At 43.2% G+C, this 13971-nt stretch overlaps 1 protein-coding gene across 2 annotated transcripts in view; it reads right to left on the bottom strand.

The window, feature by feature from the left end:
- Positions 1 to 13971, bottom strand: part of PIGU (phosphatidylinositol glycan anchor biosynthesis class U) — a 116551-nt gene that overhangs the window by 50061 nt on the left and 52519 nt on the right. For both annotated transcript variants that reach the window (XM_017027664.2, NM_080476.5), the window contains exon 7: positions 5440 to 5537. In XM_017027664.2, coding sequence (XP_016883153.1) covers positions 5440 to 5537 — 98 coding nt within the window. The remainder of the gene's footprint in view (positions 1 to 5439; positions 5538 to 13971) is intronic.

Here is a 13971-nt window from a genome sequence, read left to right on the forward strand (position 1 = left end):
TCAATATCATGAAAATGGTCATACTGCCCAAAGTAATTTATAGATTCAATGCTATTCCCATCAAGCTACCATTGACTTTCTTCACAGAACTAGAAAAAACTACTTTAAATTTCATATGGAACCCCAAAAGAGCCTGTGTAGCCAAGACAATCCTAAGCAAAAAGAACAAAGTTGGAGGCAACAAGCTACCTGACTTCAAACGATACTGCAAGGCTACAGCACCCAAAACAGCATGCTACTGCTACCAAAACAGAGATATAGACCAATGGAACAGAACAGAGGCCTCAGAAATAATACCACACATCTACAACCACCTGATCTTTGATAAACCTGACAAAAACAAGCAATGGGGAAAGGATTCCCTATTTAATAAATGGTGCTGGGGAAACTGGCTAGCCATACGCAGAAAACAGAAACTGGACCCCTTTGTTACACCTTATACAAAAATTAACTCCAGATGGATTAAAGACTTATACGTAAAACCTAAAACCATAAACCCTAGAAGAAAACCTAGGCAGTACCATTCAGGACATAGGCATGGGCAAAGACTTCATGACTAAAACACCAAAAGCAATTGCAACGAAAGCCAAAATTGACAAATGGGATCTAATTAAACTAAAGAGCTTCTGCACAGCAAAAGAAACTATCATCAGAGTGAACAGGCAACCTACAGAATGGGAGAAAATTTTTGCAATCTATCCATCTGACAAAGGTCTAATATCCAGAATCTACAAGGAACTTAAATTTACAAGAAAAAAAACAGGCCAGGTGCGGTGGCTTATGCCTGTAATCTCAGCACTTTGGGAGGCTGAGGCAGGCAGATCATGAGGTCAGGAGATTGAGACCATCCTGGCTAACATGGTGAAACCCCGTCTCTACTAAAAATACAAAAAATGAGCCAGGCATGGTGGCACGTGCCTGCAGTCCCAGCTACTTGGGAGGCTGAGGCAGGAGAATCGCTTGAACCTGGGAGGCAGAGGTTGCAGTGAGCTGAGATTGTGTCACTGCACTCCAGCCTGGGCAACAGAGCAAGACTCAAGTCTCAGAAAAAAAAAAAAAAAAAGACAAAAAAAAAAAAACCAAACATCAAAAAGTGGGCAAAGGATATGAACAGACACTTCTCAAAAGAAGAGATTTATGTGGCCAAGAAACATGAAAAAAGCTCATCATCACTGGTCATTAGAGACATGCAAATCAAAACCACAATAAGATACCATCTCACGCCAGCTGGAATGGCGATCATTAAAGTCTGGAAAAACAGATGCTGGCAAGGATGCGGAAAAATAGGAATGCTTTTACATTTTTGGTGGGAATGTAAATTAGTTCAACCATTGTGGAAGACAGTGTGGCGATTCCTCAAGGATTAGAGCCAGAAATACCATTTGACCCAGCAATCCCATTACTGGATATATACCCAAAGGATTATAAAGCATTCTACTATAAAGATATATGCACACGTATGTTTACTGCAGCACTACTTACAATAGCAAAGACTTAGAACCAACCCAAATGCCCAGCAATGAGACTGGATAAAGAAAATGTGGCATATATACACCATGGAATACTATGCAGCCATAAAAAAGGAGTTCACGTCCTTTGCAGGGACATGGATGAAGCTGGAAACCATCATCCTTAGCAAACTAACACAGGAACCGAAAACCAAACATCGCATGTTCTTACTCATAAGTGGGAGTTGAACAATGGGAACACATGGACACAGGGAGGTGAACATCACACACTGGGGCCTGTCATGGGGTGGGGGACAAGGTGTGGGAGAGCGTTAGGACAAATACCTAATGCATGTGGGGCTTAAAACCTAGATGATGGGTTGATACGTGCAGCACACCATGGCACATTACATAGGTTTGTTATACCTATGTAACAAACCTGCGCATTCAGCACATGTATTCCAGAACTTAAAGTAAAATTTAAAAAAAAATTATTTCATGTACCATCAGCAAAAACAAATAAATAAATAAATAACCAAGTCTCGGGCAGTTCTTTTTCTTTCCTTTTCTTTTTTTTTTTTTTCTTTTTTTGAGACAGAGTGTCACTTCATCACCCAGGCTGGAATGCGGTGGTGCGATCTAGGCTCCTGCAACCTCTGCCTCTCGGGTTCAAGCAATGTTCCTGCCTCTGCCTCCCGAGTAGCTGGAATTACAGGAACACTCCCCCATGTCTGGCTAATTTTTGTAGTTTTAGTAGAGACAAGGTTTCGTCATGTTGGCCAGGCTGGTCTCAAACTCCTGACCTCAAGTGGTCCACTTGCCTCAGCCTCCCAAAGTACTGAGATTACAGGTGTAAGCTACCACGCCTGGCTCAGGCAGTTCATAGCAGCGTAAGAATGGACTAATACACCAGGCTACTTCATATATTTATAAAAAATATACAAATATAGTAGGAAATGGAGTTTTAATTTCTGCATAAATGGGATCCTGAAGTTCATCTCAAACTCCTTCCGCTCCTGTCCCCCACATACAGACGGTTACCAAGCACAGCCAATTCTACCTCCTAGAATTCCCCTGCATCTAGTCTCTCATCTCTCCATCTCCTCTGACACTGGTTTGGGCCCCCAGTTTACCCCTCTGACTTGATCTAGTACAATGTTCTAAGCTTTCCCAACTTCAGCTCTTCCTACTCCCATCTACCCGACAAGCTGCTGCCAAAGCAATCTTCCTGGAGCACTCACCTGCTCAGCATCCTTCAATTGCTTTATGTCTGCAGTCTGGCATAGTATCTAGCACACTATAGGTACTTAGTAAATATTGGTAGAGGAGCTGCTTGACTTAATGAGTCAGTTGTACTGTCCACTAGTGTCAGGAGGAAATTTCCTTTAGTTTTAAACAAAAGTTGTTTTATATAAAGTGGTGCATAGAGATTGGCTTAAGAAACCATTTTTATCTTCTTTTATTTACTTATTCATTTTTTGCAGGTTGGACAAGCTCAGAAACCATTTTTAAATTTCTGGTCCATCCATGTGTATGAATATACTATATTATTTATTTGATACATAGTTGTATAAAAAGTCTGGCTATATATATTCTTAGTGCTTAGACTTTCTAAAGAATAAGCCATAAATAGGAAATAAAAAAGAAAATACAAGCAGCACATTGTTATGTGGAAAAATGCTTCAACTCAGCAAGAATACAGAAAGAAAATCAAAGCAAAATAACTTCACTGTATGGTGACACATCTACTGAACTGGCAATCATAAATCAAACTTGAAAAGTCAGTGCTGGCAGATGAGGAGGTAAGTGGTCCACTTCTCTTTAGATACTGATGGTGGCACTGCAAACTGGCTCAGGCTTTCTGGTGAACAATCTGGTATAATTGCCTAATAAGAACAATACGACTTTTCACCTTGGGTCCAGTGATTTAGCTAAAGCAACATACTTGAAGAAAATAATTTCAAGCTGGGCACAGTGGCTCACACCTGTAATCCCAGCACTTTGGGAGGCCAAGGCAGAAGGATCGCTTGAACCTAGGAGTTTGAGAGCAGCCTGAGCAACATGGCAAAGCCCTGTCTCTACAAAAAAATACAAAAATTAGCTGGGTGTGGTGGTGCATGCCTGCAGTCCCAGTTACTTGGGAGGGTGAGGTGAAAGGATTGCTTGTGCCCGGGAGGTTGAGGGTGCAGTGAACCGTGACTGCGGCACTGCACATCCCATCCTGGGCAACAGAGTGAGACACTGTCTCAAAAATAAGAAAAAGAAAAAGAAAACAAATAAAAACAAATTTCTGGCTGGGTGAAGTGGCTCATTCCTATAAACCTAGCACTTTGGGAGACCAAAGTGGGTGGGTGGATGGATTGCGTGAACCCAAGAATTCGAGACCAGTCTGGGCAACATGGCGAAACCCCATCTCTACAAAAAATTAGCCGGGTGTGGTGGCACACACCTGTAGTCCCAGTTACTCAGGAGACTAAGGTGAGACGATCGATTGAGCCTGGGAGATGGAGGCTGCAGTGAGCTGAGATTGTGCCACTGCACTCCAGCCTGGGTGACAGAGCAAGGACCTGCTCTCAAAAAAAAAAAAAAAAAATTTCTACGTTATTTATATTAGTGACAATATAAATGACATATCTCAAACATAAATAAAGACATATCTCAAATTCCCCAAATAAGAAAAAGATCAAGCAAACCATGAATCATTGTCTGCATCAACACAATATTATAAAATCACTTAAAATAACATGCATATGGCCTATTTCAATAAATGGAATACACACTCAGCTTTAGCAGTGCTTGTGATTAAGAAAGGCTCTGAAATCAGACATTTCTGGCACTGCCACCTGTACACTTTCAAGAAACATTTATCTTGTAAGAATGGATTTGGACCATGTGGGGCCTGCATGCAGTTACTTCCTCTTGAAGAAACATGTATGTACTATTCTCATTTGAGTAGAACAAGATGATTAGAGAGCACGCTCTGGCATCAGATGGCCATGGTTCATATCTTAGCAATGTCATTCGCTGGTCCTGTGACCTTAAGTGACTTAACCTCCCAACATTCTAGTTTCAATTCATTTGTCTAATATGGCTAACACTAGACTAATATTTGGCTAATAATATGACCTACTCCATAAAGTTCTTATGAGGTTAAAATGAGACGATGCCTACAGAGTGCTTAGCATGGTGCCTGACATGTAATCCATTCTCAGTAAATGTCAGCAATTTGCATTCTTCAATTAATGTTTATTGATCAGCCACTATGTTCCAAGCATTGTTTCAGATGCACATACTCCATTTAAGTCCTATAAGAATCTTACAAGGTGAGTGTTATTATAAAGAAAAGTTAAAGAAATGAGCTCAGAGGGGATCACTAGTTGAGAAAAGAAAACTGCAAGATAGTTGCGTTTGCAAATATGTAAAATAAAATGCACTTATACATTCCCAAGGATATGCATATAGTAGTGCCCCCCTTATCTGAGGTTTCACTTTTCATGGTTTCAGTTACCTGTTGTCAACTGTGGTCCTTAAATGGAAAATTCCAGAAACAAACAATTCATAAGTTTTAAATTGTACACCATTCTGAGTAGTGTGATGAAATCTCACGCCGTCCTGCTCTGTCCCACTCGAGACATGAATCACCCCTTTGTCTAGTGTATCCCTGCCTGTTAGTCACTTAGTAGTTGTCTCAGTTATTCGACAGAAAAAACATAGTATACGTAGGGTTCAGTACCAAATGCAGTTTCAGGCCTCCATTAGGGGCTTTAGAACATATCCCCTGCAGACATGGGGAGGTCTACTGTAGTTGGGACTTAATGATAATTAAGTCCACTTTGTTTAAAGTTAGTCAAGTTTCTATGTGTTTATATTTTCAACTGGGAGCAAGCTTCCCACTGCCTTTACTAACCCGTGCCCTTCCTTTCCCCCAGCAGGGACCAGGCCATGTATTAAATGTCACTTGGGTGCTGGCTTCTGACCAGCAAGTGCTTACCTGGAGGAGATAGAGGAGTCCTGGGACAAACAAGGTGAGTGGGTACAGAGACTGGTATGTCGCTAAGGCAAGAAAAATAGCACTGAGGAAAGCACTGCCTGTAAAAAGAAAGAAATGTATGGAATAATCCAGCCTCATCAATCATGATTAGACTCAGCAAGTCCCTCTCAACACAAAACTTTCCATAACTGCTCAAATAATCACCTGCCAAGTGCCTCCTGGTACACAAGGTGCTATGCAAATTCACACAGTAAGAGCTTCTTGGCTTGATTTCCAATGAAAGGAAACCAAGAAAGTCAAAACCATCTACCTTTGGCAACCTGAGACACTACAGGCATAATTCTTATAAAATTTTGAGACCCAGAACGATTTTACAAAATTTCAACCCGAAGATGTATAAAGGGATCAAGTCTATTAACATCCATGTCCTATCTAATGTACCAATTTATTAAGCCTACAATTATTGCTTATGATATCCAGAGCTGGAAACCCATCCCTTTGACTGTTGCAACATTATCACTCTTTACAACAGCCCTTCCTTACCTGCTGCATCAATTTAGGTCACGTTTTTTCTTTTCAAATGAAAGTATATTAATTTTGTTAGTAATGTCCTCACTTCCTATATAAAATGGACTACTATGGAATCATTAAACATGAGGCTATTAAGAATTTGCAATGACTTAGAAAGGTGTTTATAATATCCTATTAAATGAAGTTTATAAAAGAGACATATATTATCATTTATTTTATAAAAAAAAAATGCACAAACATTTTTTAAAAGACGAAAAGCCAGCAGGCAAAGTAACTCACGCCTATAATCCCAGCACTTCGAGAGGCCGAGTCAGGCAGATCAAGATCAGGAGTTCGAGACCAGCCTAGCCAACATGGTGAAACCTCGTCTCTACTAAAAATACAAACATTAGCCAGGCGTAGTGGTGGTGACCTGTAATCCCAGCTACTCAGGAGGCTGAGGCAGAAGAATTGCTTGAAACTGGGAGGCAGAGGTTGCAGTGAGCTGAGATTGTACCACAGCACTCCAGCCTGGGTGTCCAGGCAAAAGTTTGCAGTAGGGGGCGGAGCCCTCATGGAGAACCTCTGCTAGGGCAATGCGGAAGCGAAATGTGGGGTCGGAGCCCCCACACAGAGTCCCTACTGGGGCACCACCCAGTGGAGCTGAGAAGAGGGTCACTGTCCTCCAGATTCCAGAATGGTAGATCCACCGACAGCTTGCACCGTGGGCCTGGAAAAGCCACAGACACTCAACACCAGCCTGTGAAAGCAGCTGAGAGGGAGGCTATACCCTGCAAAGCCACAAGGGTGGAGCTGCCCAAGACCATGGGAACCCCCCTCTTACATCAGCATGACCCAGATGTGAGACATGGAGTCAAAGAAGATCATTTTGGAACTTTAAGATTTGTCTGCCCTGCTGGATTTCCAACTTGCATGAGGCCTGTAGCCCCTTTGGTTTGGCCAATTTCTCCTATTTGTAACGGATGTATTTACCCAATGCCTATACCCCCATTGTATCTAGGAAGTAACTAATTTGCTTTTGATTTTACAGGCTCACAGGCGGAAGGCACTTGCCTTGTCTCAGATGAGACTTTGGGCTGTGCACTTTTGGGTTAATGCTGAAATGAGTTAAGACTTTGGGGGACTGTTGGAAGGGCATGATTGGTTTTGAAATGTGAGGACATGAGATTTGGAGGGGCTGAGGCAGAATGATATGGTTTGGCTGTGTCCTCACCCAAATCTCAACTTGAATTGTATCTCCCAGAATTCCCATGTAATGTGGGAGGGACCCAGGGGAAGGTAATTGAATCATGGGAGTTGCTGGTCTTTCCCATGCTATTCTCGTAATAGTGAATGAGTCTCACAAGATCTAATGGTTTATCAGGGGTTTCCGCTTTTGCTTTTTCCTCATTCTCTCTTGCCACCACCATGTAAGAAATGCCTTTTGCCCTCCACCATGATTGTGAGACCTTCCCCAGCCATGTGGAACTATAAGTTCAATTAAACCTCTTTCTTTCGTAAATTGCCCAGTCTCGGACTACCAAAAAAAATAAAATAAATAAATAGAAGACTAAAACCTAAGGCCACAAAGTTTATAGTGGTTATCTCTGGGTAGTGGAATTATGAACAATTTTTCATTTTTGCTTCACTGCATTTTTTAAACTTTCTAAAATGAACATGCTTTGTTTTTGTCATTAGAAAAAAGCTAATTTCTTTGAAAAAATAGCTATTCCCTTTCAGATGGCTTAAGACAACAGGATACTCTAAAACTAAGGATAGAGAGCCCTAGTTTACAACAGGAGTTTCCAAGTGGCCCAGAAATCAGTAGGATGCAACTGATGGTCCAAGATATAAAGCCCAACAGGTGTCTTGTAATGATGTTTTTTAAAATGACAATACCCATGCTCACTCTCATTAGTGTGGGGTCAACTATTTACTGAAAATAACAGGCGGGGCATGGTGGTTCACAAATGTAATCCCAGCACTTTGAAAGGCAAAGGTGGGAGGACTGTTTGAACCCAGGAGTTACAGACTAGCTTGGGCAACATAGTAAAACCCCATCTCTACAAAAATAAAAATAAAAAAATAAGCTGGGTGTGGTGTTACACACCTGTGGTCCCAGCTACTTAGGAGGCTGAGGTGGGAGGATCACTTAAGCCCTAGAGGTTGAGGCTGCAGTGAGCTAAGACTGAACCACTGCACTCCAGCCTGGGTGACAGAGTAAGACCCTGTTTCAAATAAAAAAATAAAAATAACACATCCTCTCAATGGTGTTTCATAAAAGGAGGAACTAGTCACTCCAGTCCAAGGAGTTTTACCCCTCTGCTAATCCAGCTCTAGAGACAAACAGGAAGAGATTATTGATGAGATCTTTCACCACCAAAGTGGTCTGTATACTTGAAACATCTAAAAACTACCTTGGAGGACAGACGGTTATAAATGTGACAATGTCACAGACGAGAGAGTGGAGAGAAAAGAACTTTGTGTGCTTTATTCTTCAAACCAAGGAAACTCACCAGCTAGAACAACCCTAGTTGACAGAAAGTAGAAGGGAGGCAGAGAAAGAGAGAAGCTAGAAGTAATAGGACAGAATTCTATGGGAAGGGGGGCTGTCTCGCCATATTGACAGTGCCAGTCATGATGTCCTGTATCCAGGGTACTCATAAATATGACTGTGTAGGAACAGGATCACGCCCAGCTAAGCTGTGACACCAGCAGTGGCAAGCACACATCTGCTGAGCCACAGACTCTAAACTCAGAACCAGGTCACTCTGGGATAGGGCAGTGGCAGTAGTAGGAAAGGTGCTGTTCTGGAGCCCAACAGCTAGGGTGGGCTAGGGATTGATTCTTTGATTGGGTCAAAAATCTGAATGATTTTTTGGTGGGAAACTGGCCAAGAGAGGGAAAACACTGAAAATAACTTTTTAACTTAACCTGGTTCTCTACGGATTGAAAGCAGGCGAGAGAAGAGGCCCATGTGTCTGTTACTAGAGGATGGAGGCTAATGCTCCAACTCCATCCATTCCTATAGCATGGTGAAAACAAACACATGACTTTCTCCTGTCTCTCCCAGAGGAGACACAAGGAGTGAAATCAACACAGCCATCTCTTGCCCTAATTGCCTGAGGTTAATAATTGCTTGTCTGAAACTGACTGTTTATGAGGCCCAAGAGAGAAAAAGAGGCTCACAGCCTAGCCAAATGGACTTGTGAGTTTTAGAATACTTGCTCCTAGGATCAGGAAGAAGCAGTCTTCCTTCCATAGACTGAAGTAGTCTTTGGGAAGGAAAAATCTGTTCCTCCTGCTATTCTTTGTCAGTAACTGGCATCAACATCTAGCCAGATACCCTGGCAACCCTTCACCCTTCAGCTCCCATGTTCTTCCTTCCACCAGTCACCAAGCCCTGTGGATCCACCCCTGGAGCATTTATCCTTTCAGTTCTTGCTCTTGTCATCTCTCTCCAGCAGCTTTTCCCCCTCCTCCTTAGCGGTCTCCCAACCACCTCCCATCCAAGTCCATCTACAGAAGCACCAAAGGAACCTTCTAAAACAGTTTAGATTGTGGCTAGCCAGTCTTTAAAGACTTCTGATGGTTCCATTTCATCTATCAGGTTAAGTCTAAACTCCAACAGCAAACAAGACCCTTCACCACTGGGTCTCATTTCTCCAGTTTCACCTCTCACCACTCTTCCACACACGCCCTGTCCTCCAGCTACACTGGACTATTCCCAATTTCTGAAAACATCATGCTGTTTCATTCTTCTGTGTCTGTTCTTAGGCTATTCCTTCTGCCCAAGCCATCCTTCTCTGCCCGCTTTCTAGTAGAAAGCATTCGTTTGATAGCCAGGTGAAAGGTCACTTTGTCTATGAGCCCAAGCAAAGGTGGTAACAACCGTTGATTATAGTTGACATTTATGGATCACTTGCTAGGTGCCAGGCACTGTACTGTATCCTCTGCATCAAGAACAGTTCCTGACTTGGACAGGCGCGGTGGCTCATGCCTGTAATCCCAGCACTTTGGGAGGCTGAGGCGGGCGGATCACGAGGTCGGGAGATCGAGACCATCCTGACTAACACGGTGAAACCCTGTTTCTACTAAAAATACAAAAAATTAGCCGGGCATGGTGGTGGGAGCCTATAGTCCCAGCTACTCGGGAGGCTGAGGCAGGAGAATGGCGTGAACCCGGGAGGCAGAGCTTGCAGTGAGCCGAGATCGCGCCACTGCACGCGACACAGCAAGACTCCACCTAAAAAAAAACAAAAAAAAAACAAAAAAAAAAAAACAAAAAAAACAGTTCCTGACTCAAAAAGGTCCTCAGGAAACATCACAACAGCCCTGTGAAAGCTCTATTTCTGCTTCTTAGAACAGCTTTACTGAGATAAAAACCACACATTCTACCCATTTTACAGGTCAAGAAATCAAGACAGAAACAGAAAGCTTCAGTAATGTGACCAAAACCACATAGCTGACTCCGGTACCCACTCTTAATCCCTGTGTTAATAAGCCTAATACTGATGCTATCTTATAATAATCTGCATATGTTTCTCTCTCTCCCCATTTCTCTGTGAGTTTCTCAAGGGCAACACATTTATCTTAACTTTGGCTCTCCAGCACCTAGTACAGTTCCTGGCACATGTGATAAATGAACAAATGAAGAAATGAATGAATGAATATCATTCAGCAATACATATGAAATCCTTTTTAAAAATATGAGAATATTAAAGGAAACCAATGTTCTTGAGGAAGAAAAACTTATGAAGTGTAATACACAGAGTCATGAACACAGGCAAAGCACAAAATAAATCTAACTCAAATAAAGCAGAGCCTGAAGAATAGTGGTTGAGGGTTTGTTGTGGCAGAGGGCTGGCACAGAGAATGCTCTCTGTGGAGTAAACTATTGCATGGCTGAGGCCTGCAGTCTGGGGGCAGAAACACAGTGCTGCAACAGTCAGTAGGTTGGTGTGTGGGAAGTCTGAGTGTGGGATGCTGGGACAGGTGTGGACAGGGCGGACGCACAGCCGGAGCAAAAGTGAGGGTGAGTATGGAGGCAGGCAGGAGACTCAGAAAGGGCTATGTGTTTTGAAAAAAGCTTGAAGGGGTAAAAAGGAGTTAGGAAGGCAGAGGAGGAATGATATGTGCTTGGGGCAGAGTCAGAGAAGATCAAGGAAAGTGAGAAGTGACTTCAAATATTTTAAACAAACTGTGCAATAAGCAAACATTTCTGGAGTTTGCTCTATACGAAGAGTGTGATGGGTGCCAGGAAACCTGGTGACTCAGATAGTCTCTGTCCTCAGGGAGCTCCCAGTAAACAATTACAAAATACAGGAGGAAAGTACAAAGGAAGCAGACCTAGCCCATCAGGGGAAGCTGACACCTGAGTTTTGAACAATGAGTAGGTGAGGCTGGGCAGTCCAAGGCTGTGCACAGGTTGGAGGGCAAGAGAGAATGGTGTGCTGGGGTGGGGCTGTGTGTACTGTAATTAGCTCAATATAGCCAAAACAGGGCAAGAGCTGGGAGGAGTGACAGGAAAGAGAACACAAAAGGGGCTCCCGTGGATGCTGGTACCACTCTTCCTTAATCTGGGTGCTGGTTACTCAACGTTTCGTGAAAATTCACGTATCTGTACACTAATGAGTTATACATTTTTCCGTATATATGTCATACTTCAATAAAAAGTTACAATCCGGCTGGGCGTGGTGGCTCACCCCTGTAATCTCAGCACTTTGGGAGGCCGAGGAGGGTGGATCACAAGGTCAGGAGTTCGAGACCAGCCTGGCCAATATGGTGAAGCCCCATCTCTACTAAAAATACAAAAATTAGCCGGATGTGGTGGCGGGCGCATGTAGTCCCAGCTATTCGGGAGGCTGAGGCAGGAGAATCTCTTGAACCTGAGAGGTGGAGGTTGCAGTGAGCCGAGATCACGCCACTGCACTCCAGCCTGGGAGACACAGCAAGAGTCCGTCTCAAAAAAAACAAAAACAAAAAAAAAGTTACAATCCAAAAAGTCTCAGCAAGCAGGTAGGAGTCAGATCACGGAGGGCTAAGCTTGCACAGTCATCCAAAAACATCTACCTACAGGCCCAGACAGGATACCTGAAATCATGTCTGAAATGGCAGCCTCATGTGGGCAAGAGCTAGGGCATCACGCTGGCCTAACCAGAAGGAACTGTGCCAAGAGGACTAAGAGTTTTACCCCAAAATGATATAACCTACCATTTGCTAGGGCAGCCCAGATGCACAGGCACTAGGCTTTCTATATAAGCCTTGATATTTAGCCTTATCCTAGGGATATTAGAGTAAATCAGTCAAATGTGTATGTACATTGGCTGTAGTATCAGGAAATTTCATTATCTACTCAATCTAGCTTTGAATATGTTATGTTTTCTAACTCTCTATTTGTGTCAGGGTGGGGGCCAAAAGCCTCAGCAAGACCGGGGGTAATACTTTGCCTCCAGGGACTGCACCTCACAGCGATCTGGGCCTGGGTGGGTGGCACAGCTACAGGAGTGAGCAGGAATGTAATGAGGTGGGGCCATGGGGACTGGTTCAGGACAGGGACTTCAAGTGGAGTAATCAGAGAATAAAGAGATTGGGTCACAGGTGATGATCTATACCAAGACAGGCAGAAACGCACTGGAATGTAGTCAAAAGGGCTCAGGTCCCACAGGACTATCAGAAAAGGAAGTTGCACCAGGGTGTGGGGCAACAAGTGAGACTGCCCAGGAGGAGGAGGAGATCCTGGGGGCAGGGCCAATGTATTACATTCCTTGCCAAGTGTGTTCTTTTAACGGGGCAGCCTCTCTCAGAGCAATCCGTACATATCAGTGATAACGATGATAATTTATTGAGCACTTACTCTGTTCCAGCCATGACTGTAAGCACTTTACTTGCCTTAAGCCATTTAGTCTTCTCAATAATTCCATGAAGTGGGTACAATTACTGTCCCCATTTTACAGATAATGAAACTGAAAGACAGAGAAGTTATTTGTCTGGGGTCACGAAACTAGTGAATGAGAGCAATAGGATTTAAACCAAATGGTTTTACTTCAGACCCCATGTTCTGACTGCATCACTGGGCCACCCTCTTGATCTCAATCAAGCACCATAAAAATAACAATAGGCAGAGCAACTAGTTATTGAGTGGATTCTGCTAAGGAAGCACGCTAAGCATTTTATATTTCTTATTTATTCCTCCACTATCTCTAGGAGGTAGATATTCTGGGATCAAACTGAGGCTCTTGAGGCTGCATGATTTGCTCAAGGCTACAGAGCTGGTAATTAGAATAAGCAGGCTTTGAAGTTGGGTTGACCTGACAAAAACTGAGTCCTTGAGTCCTCTATGACTCCTTCCATTGGCAGGGCTTTGGCCTACAGGAACCTCAACTCGAAGTGATGGGATCACCAGGCCTCAGGATCATCACTCTTCCATTGTTCCTCTAAGGCTAGGCTCCAGGAAGAGAACCTCATTGAAACCTCCCAGGTCTCCCTATAAGGCCTATAAGGATGCTAACAATCATGAGGTCTCTTTTATTTTTTAATTTTTTTTACATGGTCTCACTCTGTTGCCTAGATTGGAGCTCAGTGACGCGGTCATAGTTCACTACACTCAAACTCCTGGGCTCGAGTGATCTGAGGGATCTTTTAAAAGGGAGGATACTATTAAAAATAGCAACCAATACCATCTGAGCAGTTATTACACGCCTCCATACCATTCATTCTTTATATTCACTCTATAAGGCAGACACTCTTTCATCCCCATGCTGCAGATAAGGAAACTGAGGCTTAGAATTGTTAAGTGACTTGCCCAAGGTGATAGAGCCAGGAGACAGTGGAGCTGGGATTAGCCACCAGATCTGTCTAACATGAGAGCAGCCTGGGCTCTTAATCATGCTTGAATACCTTCTGATAGCACTGATCCTTCTTTCTCCTTGGCAAGCAAGTCCTGTCACATGGCCTTTTTTGGTGGCATAAGGAAAGCTGGAAGAACCCTTAGGTGGCAAACTTCAAGAATATCTCGCTGTT

Source organism: Homo sapiens, chromosome 20 (genome assembly GCF_000001405.40).
Source record: "Homo sapiens chromosome 20, GRCh38.p14 Primary Assembly".
NCBI classification, from domain to species: domain Eukaryota; kingdom Metazoa; phylum Chordata; class Mammalia; order Primates; family Hominidae; genus Homo; species Homo sapiens.